At 34.8% G+C, this 14,309-nt stretch overlaps 1 protein-coding gene across 4 annotated transcripts in view, besides 1 other annotated feature; it reads left to right on the plus strand.

Moving 5' to 3' along the window:
* HMCN1 (hemicentin 1) overlaps positions 1–14,309 on the plus strand; it is a 456,559-nt gene that overhangs the window by 81,094 nt on the left and 361,156 nt on the right. The gene's annotated exons all lie outside the window — the stretch shown is intronic.
* Positions 8,040–8,240: a silencer, noted in NCBI's record as "peak510 fragment used in MPRA reporter construct". NCBI's record gives its function as "represses an SCP1 promoter by STARR-seq MPRAs in K562 erythroleukemia cells {active_cell/tissue: K562}" and the evidence as "EXISTENCE:reporter gene assay evidence [ECO:0000049][PMID:32103011]".

The following is a 14,309-nucleotide window of genomic DNA, read 5'->3' on the forward strand; positions in this document are numbered from 1 at the left end:
GATGTACTCCAGGAAGATTTGTTGAATGAAAGGATGCATTTATATTGAATAGGAATTTTTAATTATCCACTTCTATTATGTACATTATTTGCTGTGGGGATAATTTTGATATTTAGTGTTAAAAGCATAAGACCAAGAGTTCTAGGTCTTAATATCAACACTAGCAGTTTTGGCTGGCTATGCAACCTAGAAAAAAAAAGACCGATCTTAGTATGTTCAGCAACACATTAGTGACAATGATGTGAGTAAGTTTCCTCTAATTTTGAAAATACAAGTATACTAATTTATGAAAGTAAATATAACTGACAATAGTACCATTAGGCTGCTAGAATTCCTTGCTAAAATATTTACTATATTGCTGAGCATCAATTTGATTTGTTTCTTATTATAATTTAAAATACTGTGTACTCCATACTTGATAATGCTGTTTCTCTTTAGCAATATTGTACCCCATGAGCAATACTGCTACCCACTTAGCAATATCATACCCATTCATTGTGTAATGAATAGGCCCATGGTCAGAATCCAGGCAAGAATTCATGGACTAAGTTTGATATAGGCAAAAATTGGGACCAGTAGAGCAAGGAATTATTTTGCCTTAGCCAGAAAAATTCCATTTTGTTTCCTGTTTAAGATAGAACATGTAGCATGATCATGGAATTTCTCACTCACTATCTGGTCAGAATGGAAGATTGAGGGACTCAAAGGAAGAACAAATTATAGGCAGTTACTGACACAGATCCATCAATCCATGTGCTAGGCTGACTTTGTAAAATGGCCAGTGATATCTCCTTTTACCACACTATTGTTTGAAAAGCAGTCACTGGGTGTTGAAGTACTCAGGGACTACTCTTTGTACTTTGGGGATGTTTGTAATATTTAAATGGAAAAGAGGCTTCCAGAATTCCATAACCATAGCTTGATCACAGCTTTCAAATCTCTTGTATGCTCATCCCATTGTGATTTCCCAATGTATATCAATATATTGGATATAGGAAAGGAGATTAGAACAATTTATTTATATCCACCATGCCCATGACAGAATAAATTTTAAATAATGATGTATAACGTTTTTATGCTAATGTCAGCTGTATCTGATTAGCAATAAAGGCAGCTTGGAACATAACATGGAAAAACCAGTGGTCTGTATTGGGTAACATCCTAGCAGAGAAAATGACTCAGAACTAATGCCCCAATGTGGGGGCTGAGGCATTTAAGTACATCTTGTTTTAGGATTTTATGGATTTGTAAGCTCCCTCAGGAGAAGTGCCTGGAATTGTATACTTCCTTGGGTCCATCTGAGGGGAAGCTGGGAGACAGAAAGAAGTGGAAAGTGGCAAGGGCTTCAACTATGATTACTGCATGGTTTGATGGCTGACCATAGCACATTCTTGATGCTGTGGCCTGGACTTCTTTTTGGTCTATTGCTTAGGCCTCTCTCCATATCCCAGTGGAAACTCCATGAGGGCAGGGGTTGCTGCTGTTGTTTTTTCTTTCCCTACCACTGTATCTTCAGTGTCTTGAACAGTGCCTGGCACATAGTGGAAGCTCAGTAAATATTTGCAAGTAAATACTAATGAGTTTGCTTAGAGTTTATTCTGTACAAGGTGCTGTAGTAGGTGTGATGGTAGAAACAGAGATGAACGAGAAACTCTTCATTCTTCAGCTCACCCAGAGTCCAGCAGGGATGACATGTTGTGTGTGCAAGAGACAAGTAGCATATCCCCAGTGGCTATAGGTCCACATGATAAATAAAGTCATTCTAACTGGGAGGGAAGTGGAACTACAGAGCTCCTTGAGGTAAGGGACAGTCATTTTGGCCTTTAAGGATGTGTGGGCAGCAATAGACAGCAGTGGAAAGGGGTGCCTCCAGGTTGATGGGACAGTTGGAGCAAAGACAGGGGTGGAAACTTTGGGGCCTGAATGCATAGCAATAAGCAGAAAGATTGGGCCCAGGGCGGGGTGTGTGAGGGGACAAGTTGGAAAAAAGGCAGAAGAGAAAGGCTGAGGCCAGTTTACAGAGGGGCAGCAATGACATGATAAAGCAGTGAAGAATTTATATAGAATTAGAAGTTTGTGCGTGCTTAAGGATCACAAATAATGGTTAATTCTAAATTCTGAAAGTCACTGGCCACAGTTTATACTTTTTAGCTTATTACATAGTTTCAAGAATTGTTGATTTGATTGTTTTTAGCATTAAATTTACCAAAGCCTATGAAATATCTCCAATATATTTATTAAAAGTGGTGCAAGAATGGCCCTGACTTTCATTAGTATGTGTACAGTCAGATTTTGAAACAGAAAAGAAAGACTGAGAAAAGCCTAAAAATCACCAGGCTGTGTAGAGCACAAAAAGCTGTTTCGGTTCATAGGATCTCAGAAGATAGAAGGCAATTTAGTCAGGCTTAAATACTTTTAGTCCTTTACAGCTACTATGCTTTCTCTCAGATTGGTGCTTTTACCCATACTGTTTTCCTCTTTTATTCCTCCATTCCTCCACCAACTGTCCATCTCCTGCATTTGGCTAAGCCCAACTCCTTCTTCAAAACTTATATTATTTATTATTTCTTCTGGACTTCTCCAGAAGCCTTCCTTAGATTTCCCCACCTTTATGAGGCAGGACACACCTCTATCTGCACCTAGATATATTTTCTTTATATTTTTTTCACTGCAACATAATTTTCTTTGCTTTCAAGAATGGATAAATCAATCATTCCAAGCCTCACTGTGGCATCCTTGAAATTGATTACCTAAGTTGCCCCTAAAAACTTCACATGACAGTGTGGGCTTATCACATAACACTTTTAATTATTAGAAAATTCTTCATTGTATTGAGTTGAAATCTGTTTGTTTCCTTCACCTATCAATTTATTTTTTTTTCCTAAATGGCATGGATGTAAGTGTTTGGAGATTATTAGCTTCTTATCACTATTTGTATGAATATTGGTTTCCAGATTAAGACACCTCAAAACTTGGTAGCCTTTCTATGGATAAACTCGATTTGGTCACTTTTCTCTTTTAAAATTTGTAATTGTATATAATTTTTCAGATGTGAATTGAGTAGAACTGAATATAGTTAATTCTTACCTTCTTTGATATAATACAATATGGATTTTTATTAACCCTGAGATTTTGGGCTTTTTTTGGCAGTGATTTCACATTATTGACTGATGTAATGCTTGCAACTGGCTAAATATATTTTTCATAAGAATTAAAGTGATATGTGCCCAATAACTACACTTAGATGAATAAATGAATGACACCAGGCTACCACCATTCTGTACCTTCAAAAACTTAAGTATGGAATGTAAAACTTATCCTAAATAAATCCAGTTTTATACATTTGGAAACTTATAAATTTTTATAAACTTTCACTTGGGCTAAAATTTTTATCTCCTTGAACATAAATAGTTTAAGCAATTTTACCTTTTTTTTTTTTGGCTGAAATCAAACTATCTTATGTGGTTCCTTGATCTGTTACCTGGAAGCCATGCCTGTAATCCCAGCACTTTGGGAGGCTGAGGCGGGCGGATCACAAGGTCAGGAGTTCGAGACCAGCCTGGCCAACATGGTGAAACCCCATCTCTACTAAAAATACAAAAATTTGCTGGGTGTGGTGGTGGGTGCCTGTAATTCCAGCTACTCGGGAGGCTGAAGTAGGAGAATCACTTGAAATAAGAAGGCAGAGGTTGCAGTGAGCGGAGATCGCACCACTGCACTCCAGCCTGGGCAACAAGAGCGAATCTCCATCTCAAAAAAAAAAAAAAGGACCTGCTGCTAGCTTGATGTATTTGGTTTTCATTCACATGCAACTATGTCTTTATGTCTTTTTCTAAACATTGAGGACCATTGTAGGCATTTTCTTGATTTTAAAATTAAGTTTACCAACCAAAATATGCTTTCCAGTATTTGCTACTCTTTTCCCTCTTTTGAGAAACATACTTTTTCCTATTTATCACTTTTTATTACATTTCCTCATTGTCCATGAGTTCTCTGATATTACCTAAATCTGTGTCCTTCTCTATGTTTTTTTCAGGAACTAAAATATAAGTTAGTCAGAAATTGGAGAAAAATATCTCATTCAAATTGGCCAGTTATTCTTGCGGTCTTTTTTAATAATTTTGCACCTGCTTCTTTGATTACAGTAGTTTTCTTATAACTCCTTAAAGCCTTTCTTCTTCAATATTTTACTTAAAAAAGTCATCATTTGTTGTTTGGAAATAATTAGAGAAAGAAACAGTCTTATAAGAAATTGCCCCAAATATTTGAAAACATGAGGAGTCCAAAACAAATGAGGAATTTATATTGAACCACTGGGTGTTTCCATGGTGGAAAAGTCAATAAAACAATTCAATATTATGAACCCCAACCAGCATTCTGAAATGTAGTTTTATTTTCCATTTATTAATAATGTATCATGCCATATAGCATGTTTAACATGACCTGTTAAAGGCATGGCAAGTCACAGGAGAAGAAAAAGAAAGCCTAGAGAAGGTGCAGGAAATAGATAAAGTGAGTAGCAGGAAGGAAAAAAGCACAATGAAGTATGATAAGGGGGCAAAAGGTTTGGAGAACCACTGCCAATGACCCTGACAAATATGTGCATGCTATTTGCTTTTGATTGGGAACTGTCAGCAGGAGAAAGTGTCTAAATATGTTTTTCATAAGAATTAAAATGATATATGCCCAGTAAATACACATAACTACACAAAGTAATCTCTGAGGTTACTTTGTCTTTATCCTCCAAGAAACATGGATCCCAAATAGATTAGCCTTTTTCATTTCTTCTGGACCACTTCACTGAAGGATACCAACTCCATATTTGTTATACAAGGGCATTAAAGCTATCAGGTCATAGAGTATTTGAGATTGGATTTTGCTGTATCCATTTTATTACCTAAGGCGTTCCTCATTCATGTTTTTTTTAAAACTGGGTCTTCAAAATAAGAAGCTGAGACAGCCCCGAATAATGTTTTTAGTTGGTAGAATAGTTCATCAATCAATCTTGCTCAAACTATTTATAATAGAAGTAAGTGAAAGACATGGTTCCTAGTGATTTCAATCTCAGATTAATCTTCCTCTGAACATAAAATTGTTTTCTTGTACTCAAATAAGGTTATACATAGTAAATTTTTAAACAGTCTAAAATATATTTAAACTTGTGGTGCATATTAGTCTTTAAAGCTTTGAGATTTAGAGGATTGGTATGATTAAAATCAAGCTGAAGGCCATTCGCTAAAAGCATCTGTCATCAGAGAGTACTTTATGGGAAACAATGTCAATAGAATATGTAATATTTTAGTGGTGTATAGCAATATTTTATGTCTGCAAAGCGCTTGCCATAAACTACAAGTGAAATGGACCATCTACCTCTACTGCCTTCAGATGGATGAAGATATTTGCTTATGTAGATATTAGAACACTCATTTTAATATGTGGATTTTGAATAGAGACATTTTCTTGATGAGTTCTAATCATCTAATTTTAAACATTTAGAAATCAGACACCTTTATTGATGAAAACATTATGTACCTGTAATATATATATATGTACATGTAATATATATATATCTATATATATGCTTATAAGTCACAGGATGTACTATTGCTGTAATATATTTTGTCAACTTTAAAGCAAAAGCTTAGAGATGGTTGAGATAAGTCAATAAGAGCACAAATGTCTTCATACAGATATTATTGTGTACCTTTTTGGTACATGTGCACCTCTCTGTAAAGACCACCAGTATAAAGGATTGCATTCTTTGGTATAACTTAAGGTACATACATTGAGAGGAATTCTGAAGAAGTTAGCTCTAAATTTTGATTTATCTTGTTTAAAGAGAATAATTATATGTCATTAGTTGTTGACATATGTTTGATGCAAGGGAAATGAATTGTCTTATTGGTAGAAAGGTTTAGGAAACTCATACTCGTATTCTGTCATATAATAATAGATGATGACTAAGCTTAAGGGTAGCATATTATAATCTCTACTGAGTTGCCAACAGTGATGGCCAATTTCTTATCACTAGCTTGTAACTCTTGGAATTAAATCATGTAACTCTTAAAATGTAATTCATATATCACATATATGAAAGTCTGATGACAATTATACTCATGTACTTGTATACTATGTTTCAGCTCTGGTCTGGCTCTGCTTTTTTAGACTTGCTGAGAGGTATGGAGCCAGTCTTGTATCTTACTTTTTGAGCCAAGGAAGACTTTAGAGCAAGGCCTGCTCATGGTTCTCTTCTGCTTGGTCAACTTGAAAAAAGGCTCAGTAAAGCCAAGGAGAAAGCTGGCATGGGGAATTGCCTTGGCAAGCAGTGGTGACTCTGCAGGCATGAGAGATAGTGTGCTTTGCCCTGGGAAATAAAGCTATTACCTGTTGATTGCTTTGCTTTAAAAAAAAAAAAAAAAGCTTTACAACAATAGAAGAACCTCAAATGAATATTGCTAAGTGAAAGAAGCCAATCTGAAAAGGCTATGTACTGTATGATTCCAACTACATAATCTTTGGGAAAAGGGAAAACTGTGGAGACGGTGAAAAGATCAGTGGTTGCCAGGGTTTGAGAGGAATGAACAGGTGGAGCACAGAGGATTCTTGGGGCAGTGAAATTACTCCATGTGGTAATATAATGGTAGGTATATGTCACTATACATTTGTCCAAACCCATACAGTGTACAACACCAAGAGGGGGAGCCCTAAGGAAAACAATAGACTAGTTGATAATGATGTGTCAATGTAGGTTCATCAGTTGTAACAAATGTACCACTCTGGTGGGGGATGTTGATAATGGCGGAGGTTGTGGGGCGGGGTGGGCAGGAGGTACATGGGAATCTCTGTTCCTTCATCCCAGTTTTGTTCTGAACCTAAAACTTCTCTGAAAAAACAGTCTTAAAACATAAAATAAGCTTTATGTTCTCCATCTTTCCAGGAAACTGAGAGGCCCCCAAAACACCCAAACTGAGTGTTCTAGCTCCTGCCTGCCTGATCAACATTCTTATACTAACTTGAAGGGTTTGATAATGTTAATGTAAATTAAATCAACTCCTTCCTCACACAGCTACATTAAAGTACTTGATTAAGTCTACTATGACTTCTAAGAGCGCATTCTGGCTGCCAGTAAATGTTTTGAAATAAAAGGTTAAATTTAAAATTTTTTCTATTATTATTTTGTTGAATATCAATTTTAGTGAGATTCAAGGGCAAAGTAGTTGCCTGGCAGGAGTTAATGCATCCAAAGTAAGTAGTTTTGCTGAGAATATAGGTTTTCTCATTTATGACTTTGTATTTTAAAAATTGATAGTGTTTTTCTCAGGAAAACATCCCTGTTTTGGGCAGGAAGTATCTTATTTGACTGATAATACTTCAGATTCAGGATTTTTTGTTTGTTGATGCTCCTTTTAGAAAACTTAGAAACTATATAAAATATAAATAACAAAACAAAATTAGCAAAATTTGAACAATCTCACTGTTAAAATTTGATATATTTCACTCATCTCCTCTTTCACTCTCCCTTCCTTTAACTTATCTCACTCTTTTTTTGTTTCAAATGAAAGTTATATGGGATATTTTACATTTTACTTTTTTCAGACATTATATCATGAGTATTTCTCTAAGGAATGAATACCAATAACATTATTGGTAAAATGTCACATATGGACCCAAATTTATTTCATTAACTCCTACTGACTATTAAATGATTTATTCCCTCTAAACTGGAAATTTTGAATAGATGTGATAATTTCTCCAGAGCAATGCGTTCTTGAGAAAGATCATTTTCTGGAAAAAGATAGTTCTTTTTCATAATCACCAGCAAAATTTTAAATATTTATATGCTGATATTTTCATGAGCTTTCTGTAATATACAAGGCAAACATGTAAAACAACTGTGAAAGTGTAGGCAACATATAAAAAAATTGTTCTTTGGTGTTTAAGGTAAAGTGTAAATAATGTTAATTTCATGGTAATAAATACTGACAGATTTTTTTTGTTATTTTTGATTTGGATGTCTCAATTGACTGCAAGTTTGATGTTGCCTCAGTTTACTACAGACTTCTGACAAAGATGCTTATTTTCATGACCAGTCGGTCATGAGCTTCCCAAGTGGCCATCTCTTGGCTTTGTGGTTTTAGTGAAATCCAAGTCAGCTCCACTGAGCTGTTCACATGACTGAATGCCAGAAGATAGACATGAAATACAATATCCTGTTCTGGAAAAATAAACCACCCAAAGGACCTGTGTGTCTTTCCTTATTTCTTTTTATTTATAACTTAAGAACTAAAATTTAAACAAGAAGCAGCATTTTGAATTCAGAACTGAAACAATACAGACTTCTAGAAATGAATAATTAAATTACCTAGGTTCATAGCGCAGTCAAGTGTGTTATATTTGTGTTGCTTTTCTAATGTGCGACTATTTCTACTTTTTATTTATTTCAAACATATCTGAGCACTTTGGAACTAACAGCAAGTAGATTTTTGTTTGTTTATTTTGTCACCATCATCACCATTCTATGGGGAACTGACATGGCATATTTCTGATAGAAATGGGAGTCTATTTAAAAATATTCTGTGCTTACTGTGAGACTTAGATGATAGGATATTTTTGTTAACTCACATGTCCTGAGTACTTGGCTTTATGCTTCAGCTTGTTTAATACTCTGAATAACCCTGACAAGGTCTCTTCTAAAGATGAGGAATCTGAGGCTAAAAGAGTTGCCCAAATGGTTTAAGATGCTAGTAAGTGGTTAAACAAGATTGGAGCTCAAGCTGTCTCCTTCAAAGGCTATGTGTATAACCACTAAACTTATTAACCCAGACAAAAGCAATCTCCTCTTTCTCTAAACTCTTGTGGCTTTGTTTGTACCACACGTATCTCACACAGTCTGTTTGTCATTAATTTGTTATGTTTACCTTCTGACTAAATCATAGGCTTTTTGGGGTCAGAGAATTCTCAAATTGTGTAACCCTGTAAATATACCCTCTCTGCAAGCTACACAATGCCTTCTGATAAGATACTAATAAACACTCAGGTATTAATATCCTACGCTAAGCTCTGGTTAGATTATCGGGGAGAATGGACACTATATTGGTTGTAGGCATAACCACAATTGAAACTATGAAGACTTTTGGAGTTTTCATGGGGAAGGGGCTCACTTTTATTGCATGTCTACTATATGTATTACTTTACATACTCTGTACCATTCAATTCTAAGCAATCTGTCAGAATCTTACAGATAAAGAAACTGAGGTTCAGAGAGATTAAATAACTTGCCATAGTAACTAGCAAAACCAGAACTGGTATTCATGATTGTTTTATTCGATAGCCTGTGGTTTTTTCAAACTTTTTTATTCCATCAGAGCAATATATTTATTTTGTTAAAACACTAAAATAGTATAGAAATCTTTCTGAGCAAGAGTTAACACTAAGGTTAACTCTATTATTGCGGCCAAAGATAGAGAAAGAAATAAGTGGAGCATTGATATCTAATGATTACTATAATGGCTGATGTACTCCTTAAGGAAAGAGTTTTATTGCCATCATTATATTAGATTTTAATATAATAGAAAGTAAAAACAAGAAATTGTTCAGAATGTTGTTAAGACTCAATAAATACTTATTGAACATCTATGTGTTAGGAACTATGCTAGTTGTTTACACAGATATTAGCCAAACAGAAACGCTGAGGAGGGGTACTTCCAAGTGTATTTTACACAAAGCATACACCAAAGCTGAGAGTTAAGTAACTTGTCCAAATTCACACCACTAATAATGTAGAAGTAGTATAATAGCAAAGGTCTTCACTTTAAATTCAGTGCTTTTTCTATTATGTCTGGTTTTAGTGCTGTATTTAGGGGGTAACTTTTAAAAAATTTAATAAAACTTTATTTTGAAAGAAGGAATGATTTGTGCAGTGCTTTCTTCGTTTCGGATGCCAAGAAAGTATGGTAGCAAGTGCTAACTTCTATTTGTAAATGTGTCTGAAATATTGTGTGTCTGGAGTTTTCATAAATGTAGCAAGCTCAAAAAGTACATGAAATAATGATAATCAATTCTGCCCAAAACAAAGAATTTGTAATCTTACTCTCAAATTGTTTGTCACTTGAATTCTTGTCTGTTTGTCATTATATTTATGTTACCTTTATTCAAAGTTTACATTTTAGGTAGGGGGTAGATCAACATTCTTCATCTTTGTCAAATTCATTGGCAGGCAAATTTATGGTAGTGTTTGGCCAGTTGCTTAGGGGACAAAACCAAACAGCATATTGATTGTGTTATGTTGGGCTTTGTGGTTTTACAGCTTAGGAAATCCAGTTCTTGTTTAATAGCATGCAACCATTTCTGTTCTAAAAGGTTTTTCTCTTACATATTACTAGTGGTTTAAAAAAGTATTTGGAGGAGACGAAAGAAATTTAGATTCCAAAACAAAGAAATAATACAATCTAATCAGGGATTATTTTGTTTCTATAAAAACTAAATATTTAAAAGTTATCTTGGGAGAATGAGAATTTATTTGAGTGGGGTTCAGAGTAAAGACAAATCTGGGCTGTGCTATTCATTTGTAAAATGAAGATAATACCCAACTTGCAGGGCTATTTTGAGGCATATACAATAAAGTAGTTTTATGTGTTTTACAGTGCCAGACACAAAGTAGATGGTTATTATTGTTTCCTTGTATTTCCAATTCAATTCCTGAATGTATAAAACATGGATTTTGAGGATATTCGATTAAGACAAAAATTAAAGAATTTAGGATAGAATGTCTGATTTGAATGTGGTAGTTTAAAGTCACATTATCACCTCATCTTCGCAGAAATTATCCAAAGCAACAAGGTAAATGAAAAACAGAAATTTAAACAACCATATTTGGTGATGCTAAAAGACTGCTAAACTCCAGATCCTCCCAAAGGAGGAATGTCTTCCCAAGGCAGTAGACGTTGTAGATTAGGATGAGGAGATGGAAAACAGTGGAGGCAGTGCAACAGCTGTGCAGCTACGAGACAGCCATTTATGAAGATGAGGGATACACACTGAGATGCAATTTCTGAGCTCCATTATTATAACAGGACAAACTAGGTGCACCAACTTTCTCAGACCCAGTTGGTTCTGAGCAGTAAAAAAGATGGGCCAACCACATGAAAACATAGACCAGTCTTCATTGGTTGAGCAAACAGCCAGTCTTCATTGCAGTAGAGAAAGGATAGTTTACATTAAGAAAACCATCTCAACTACCATGTCCATTGATTGAGGAAGTGTAAAAAGGAAATAAATACACAATCAAAATCCTACATCACAGGAAAAATTGCCCTTAGCCTGGAATATGTCTCCATTCCCTTCGCCACATGAACTTCCAACAAATAGCTGGTACAGAAAAAACTCACCAGTTTCAATACTATATGATACCAAAAAGGATTAGCCTAAGATCTTTTTTTAAAAAATTGCTTGGGAGGCCAAGGTGGGCGGATCACGAGGTCAGAAGATCGAGACCATCCTGGCTGACACAGTGAAACCTTGTCTCTACTAAAAATAAAAAAAATTGGCTGGGCGTGGTAGCGCCTGTAGTCCCAGCTACTCGGGAGGCTGAGGCAGGAGAATGGCATGAACCCGGGAGGCAGAGCTTGCAGTGAGCCGAGATCATGCCACTGCACTCCAGCCTGGGCGACAGAGCAAGACTCCATCTCAAAAAAAAAAAAAAAAAGAAAAAAAATTGCAAGAAAAATATGAGGAAATGAAGAGGGAAACCAAAAGCTCAGGAGAAAATAATAGCTAAACAAAACAAAGTAGTGTGCCATGAAAGAGATGAAAATTGTTACTGAACATTGTGCTATAAATTTAAAAATAAAGTAAAACAAAACTTTAAAGAAATAAGTGTGTTTATGAAGGATGAATGCCAATAAAAAATAAAAGAACTCAGAGAAGAGATGGTAGGTGAACAGTGGTCTCAAAGAAATGGACAGGAAAAATAAAACCACTACAGAAATCAAGGAAAAGTTGGCAGGAGCACAAGAAAGAATAAACACTGCTGAAATATAGCAAAGACCTTGAGAGAGGATGAATATGAGGAAAGTGAGCAAAATGAAAGAGAAATTTAAGAGTTTTAAAAGATTAGACAGAAAATGGTAGGTAGCTATAGAAGACAGGCAAAGGAAATCAAGTATGCACATTTTTGGAGTCACGAATAAAAATGAAAATTATGTCACAAAATAAATATTTAAAGATATAAATTAAGATAATTTCCCTAAGTTAAGGAAGACTTGAATTTACATGTTGAAAGGCATACTAAATCCAATGGAAATTGCCCCAGTGCCATAAACATAAAAACATATCCAAGTAAAATTCAGAGATAATGAAAGACTCCCTTGGGTGGCCAAGAAGAATGTCTCTTGTAGGAGAAATAGATTAATGTGATCTTGAACTACTTTAGAACACACTGAATGCTAGAAAATAATGGAGCAAAATCTATGTGTTGAGTGTGACTCAAGAATTTTATAACCAGCAAAAATGTTGTTCAAATACAGAGGCAATAGCAAACAATTTTGAACACGCACAACTTAGGGAATATTGTTTACATGAAATATCAGGAAATTTTTAGAAGAAAAGTTAAGCAAGAGGTGTCTAAAAAGTATACAACAAAAATACTAACCATGAGCATTGGATTTATGCAATTCTTTGACTAAGACTAAAATATGGGGATTAGGGTAACAGAACAGACTGTAATGCAAATTGTACTGATAATAAAAGTAATAAGCCTTATAAAAATGGATAAAACAGGGAAAGAAAGTGGAAGCATAGTAAATACATGTATTTTAAATGCAAATTTAAAATAAGTGAGGGTCATGGTCTTGATGTTAAACAAAACAAAAATAACACTTTATAAAGATTGAGACATTCACAGTGAAAATAAAGCAGTGAAATGTATCTATGTACTAACAACATCAACATTCATAGAACAAAACAATAACAGAAGATATAGAAACATATTAGAGTAAGAGACTTGAATTTTCTTCCATAGTTGATGACAGATAGAAGACAGAAATATCTACATCTATAGAAGACCTGGTTAATATAATTAATACACATCTAACTGATGTATAGAACATTGTTTCCTGAAAACACAATACTTCTTTTCAAGTAGCCATGGAGTGTTAACAAGAGTCAATCCTATACAGCACCACAAGGAAAAGTGCACTCATCACAATGAAATAAAACTAGAAATTAATAACAAGGGAGGTAAATTTTTTAAAAACTTCATCAAATTTAAAAATCTCTCTTAAACTCATGTCAAACAGGAAACCCAACCTAAATTTTCTAAAATTTAGAAAACAAAGGTAATATAAACATGACATATCAGAATCTATGGGATATAGATAAAACTCTCAGAAGAAAAGTATACCCTTAGTACTCTGAGTAGTGAATTAGGAAGTAAGAAGAAAACAACAAAATTAACCTATGCAAAGCAAAATGAAGTAATAAAGCAGAAATAGATGAATTAGAGATAAAAAGAAGTACTTCTTCTTTGGGAAACTAAACTATTAGTTAATAAAATAAAATGTACAGTACACAAATACACCATGTAAAAAAGGATCATAGGGAAACTATCTTGAAATGCTGAAAATTTAGTCATAAAAGATTTTGTTTACTAAACTCAAGGTGAACAATTTGAAAAATTGAATAAGATGGTTAAATTTCTTGAGAGAGATGATTTTCTAAAAGACTCCAAAGCATACAGAAAATACAATTGAAGCCTGGGCATGGTGGCTCACACCTGTAACCCCAGTACTTTGTTTCATTTTTTTTTTCTAAAAAAAATAAAAGGGGGATACGTGTACAGAACGTGCAGGTTTGTTATATGGTATACATGCGCCATGGTGGTTTGCTGCACCTATTGACCTGTCTGTCCTCTAAGTTCGCTCCCCTCACCCCTTACCCCCCAACAGGCTGTGGGGTGTGTCATTCCCCCCTCTGTGTCCATTTGTTCTCAATGTTCAACTCCCACTTATGAATGAGAAAATTCGGTGTTTGGTTTTCTATTCCTGTGTTAGTTTGCTAAGGATGATGGCTTGTAGCTTCATCCATGTCCCTGCAAAGGACATGATCTCATTCCTTTTTATGGCTGCATAGTATTCCATGGTGTATATGTGCCACATTTTCTTTATCCAGTCTATCATTGGTGGGCATTTGGGTTGATTCCATGTATTTGTTATTGTAAATAGTGCTGCAATAAACATGTATGTGCATGTGTATAGTAGAATGATTTATAATCCGTTGGGTATCTACTCAGTAATGGGATTGCTGGGTCAAAT

The sequence above is a fragment of the Homo sapiens genome, chromosome 1 (genome assembly GCF_000001405.40).
Source record: "Homo sapiens chromosome 1, GRCh38.p14 Primary Assembly".
Taxonomy (NCBI): domain Eukaryota; kingdom Metazoa; phylum Chordata; class Mammalia; order Primates; family Hominidae; genus Homo; species Homo sapiens.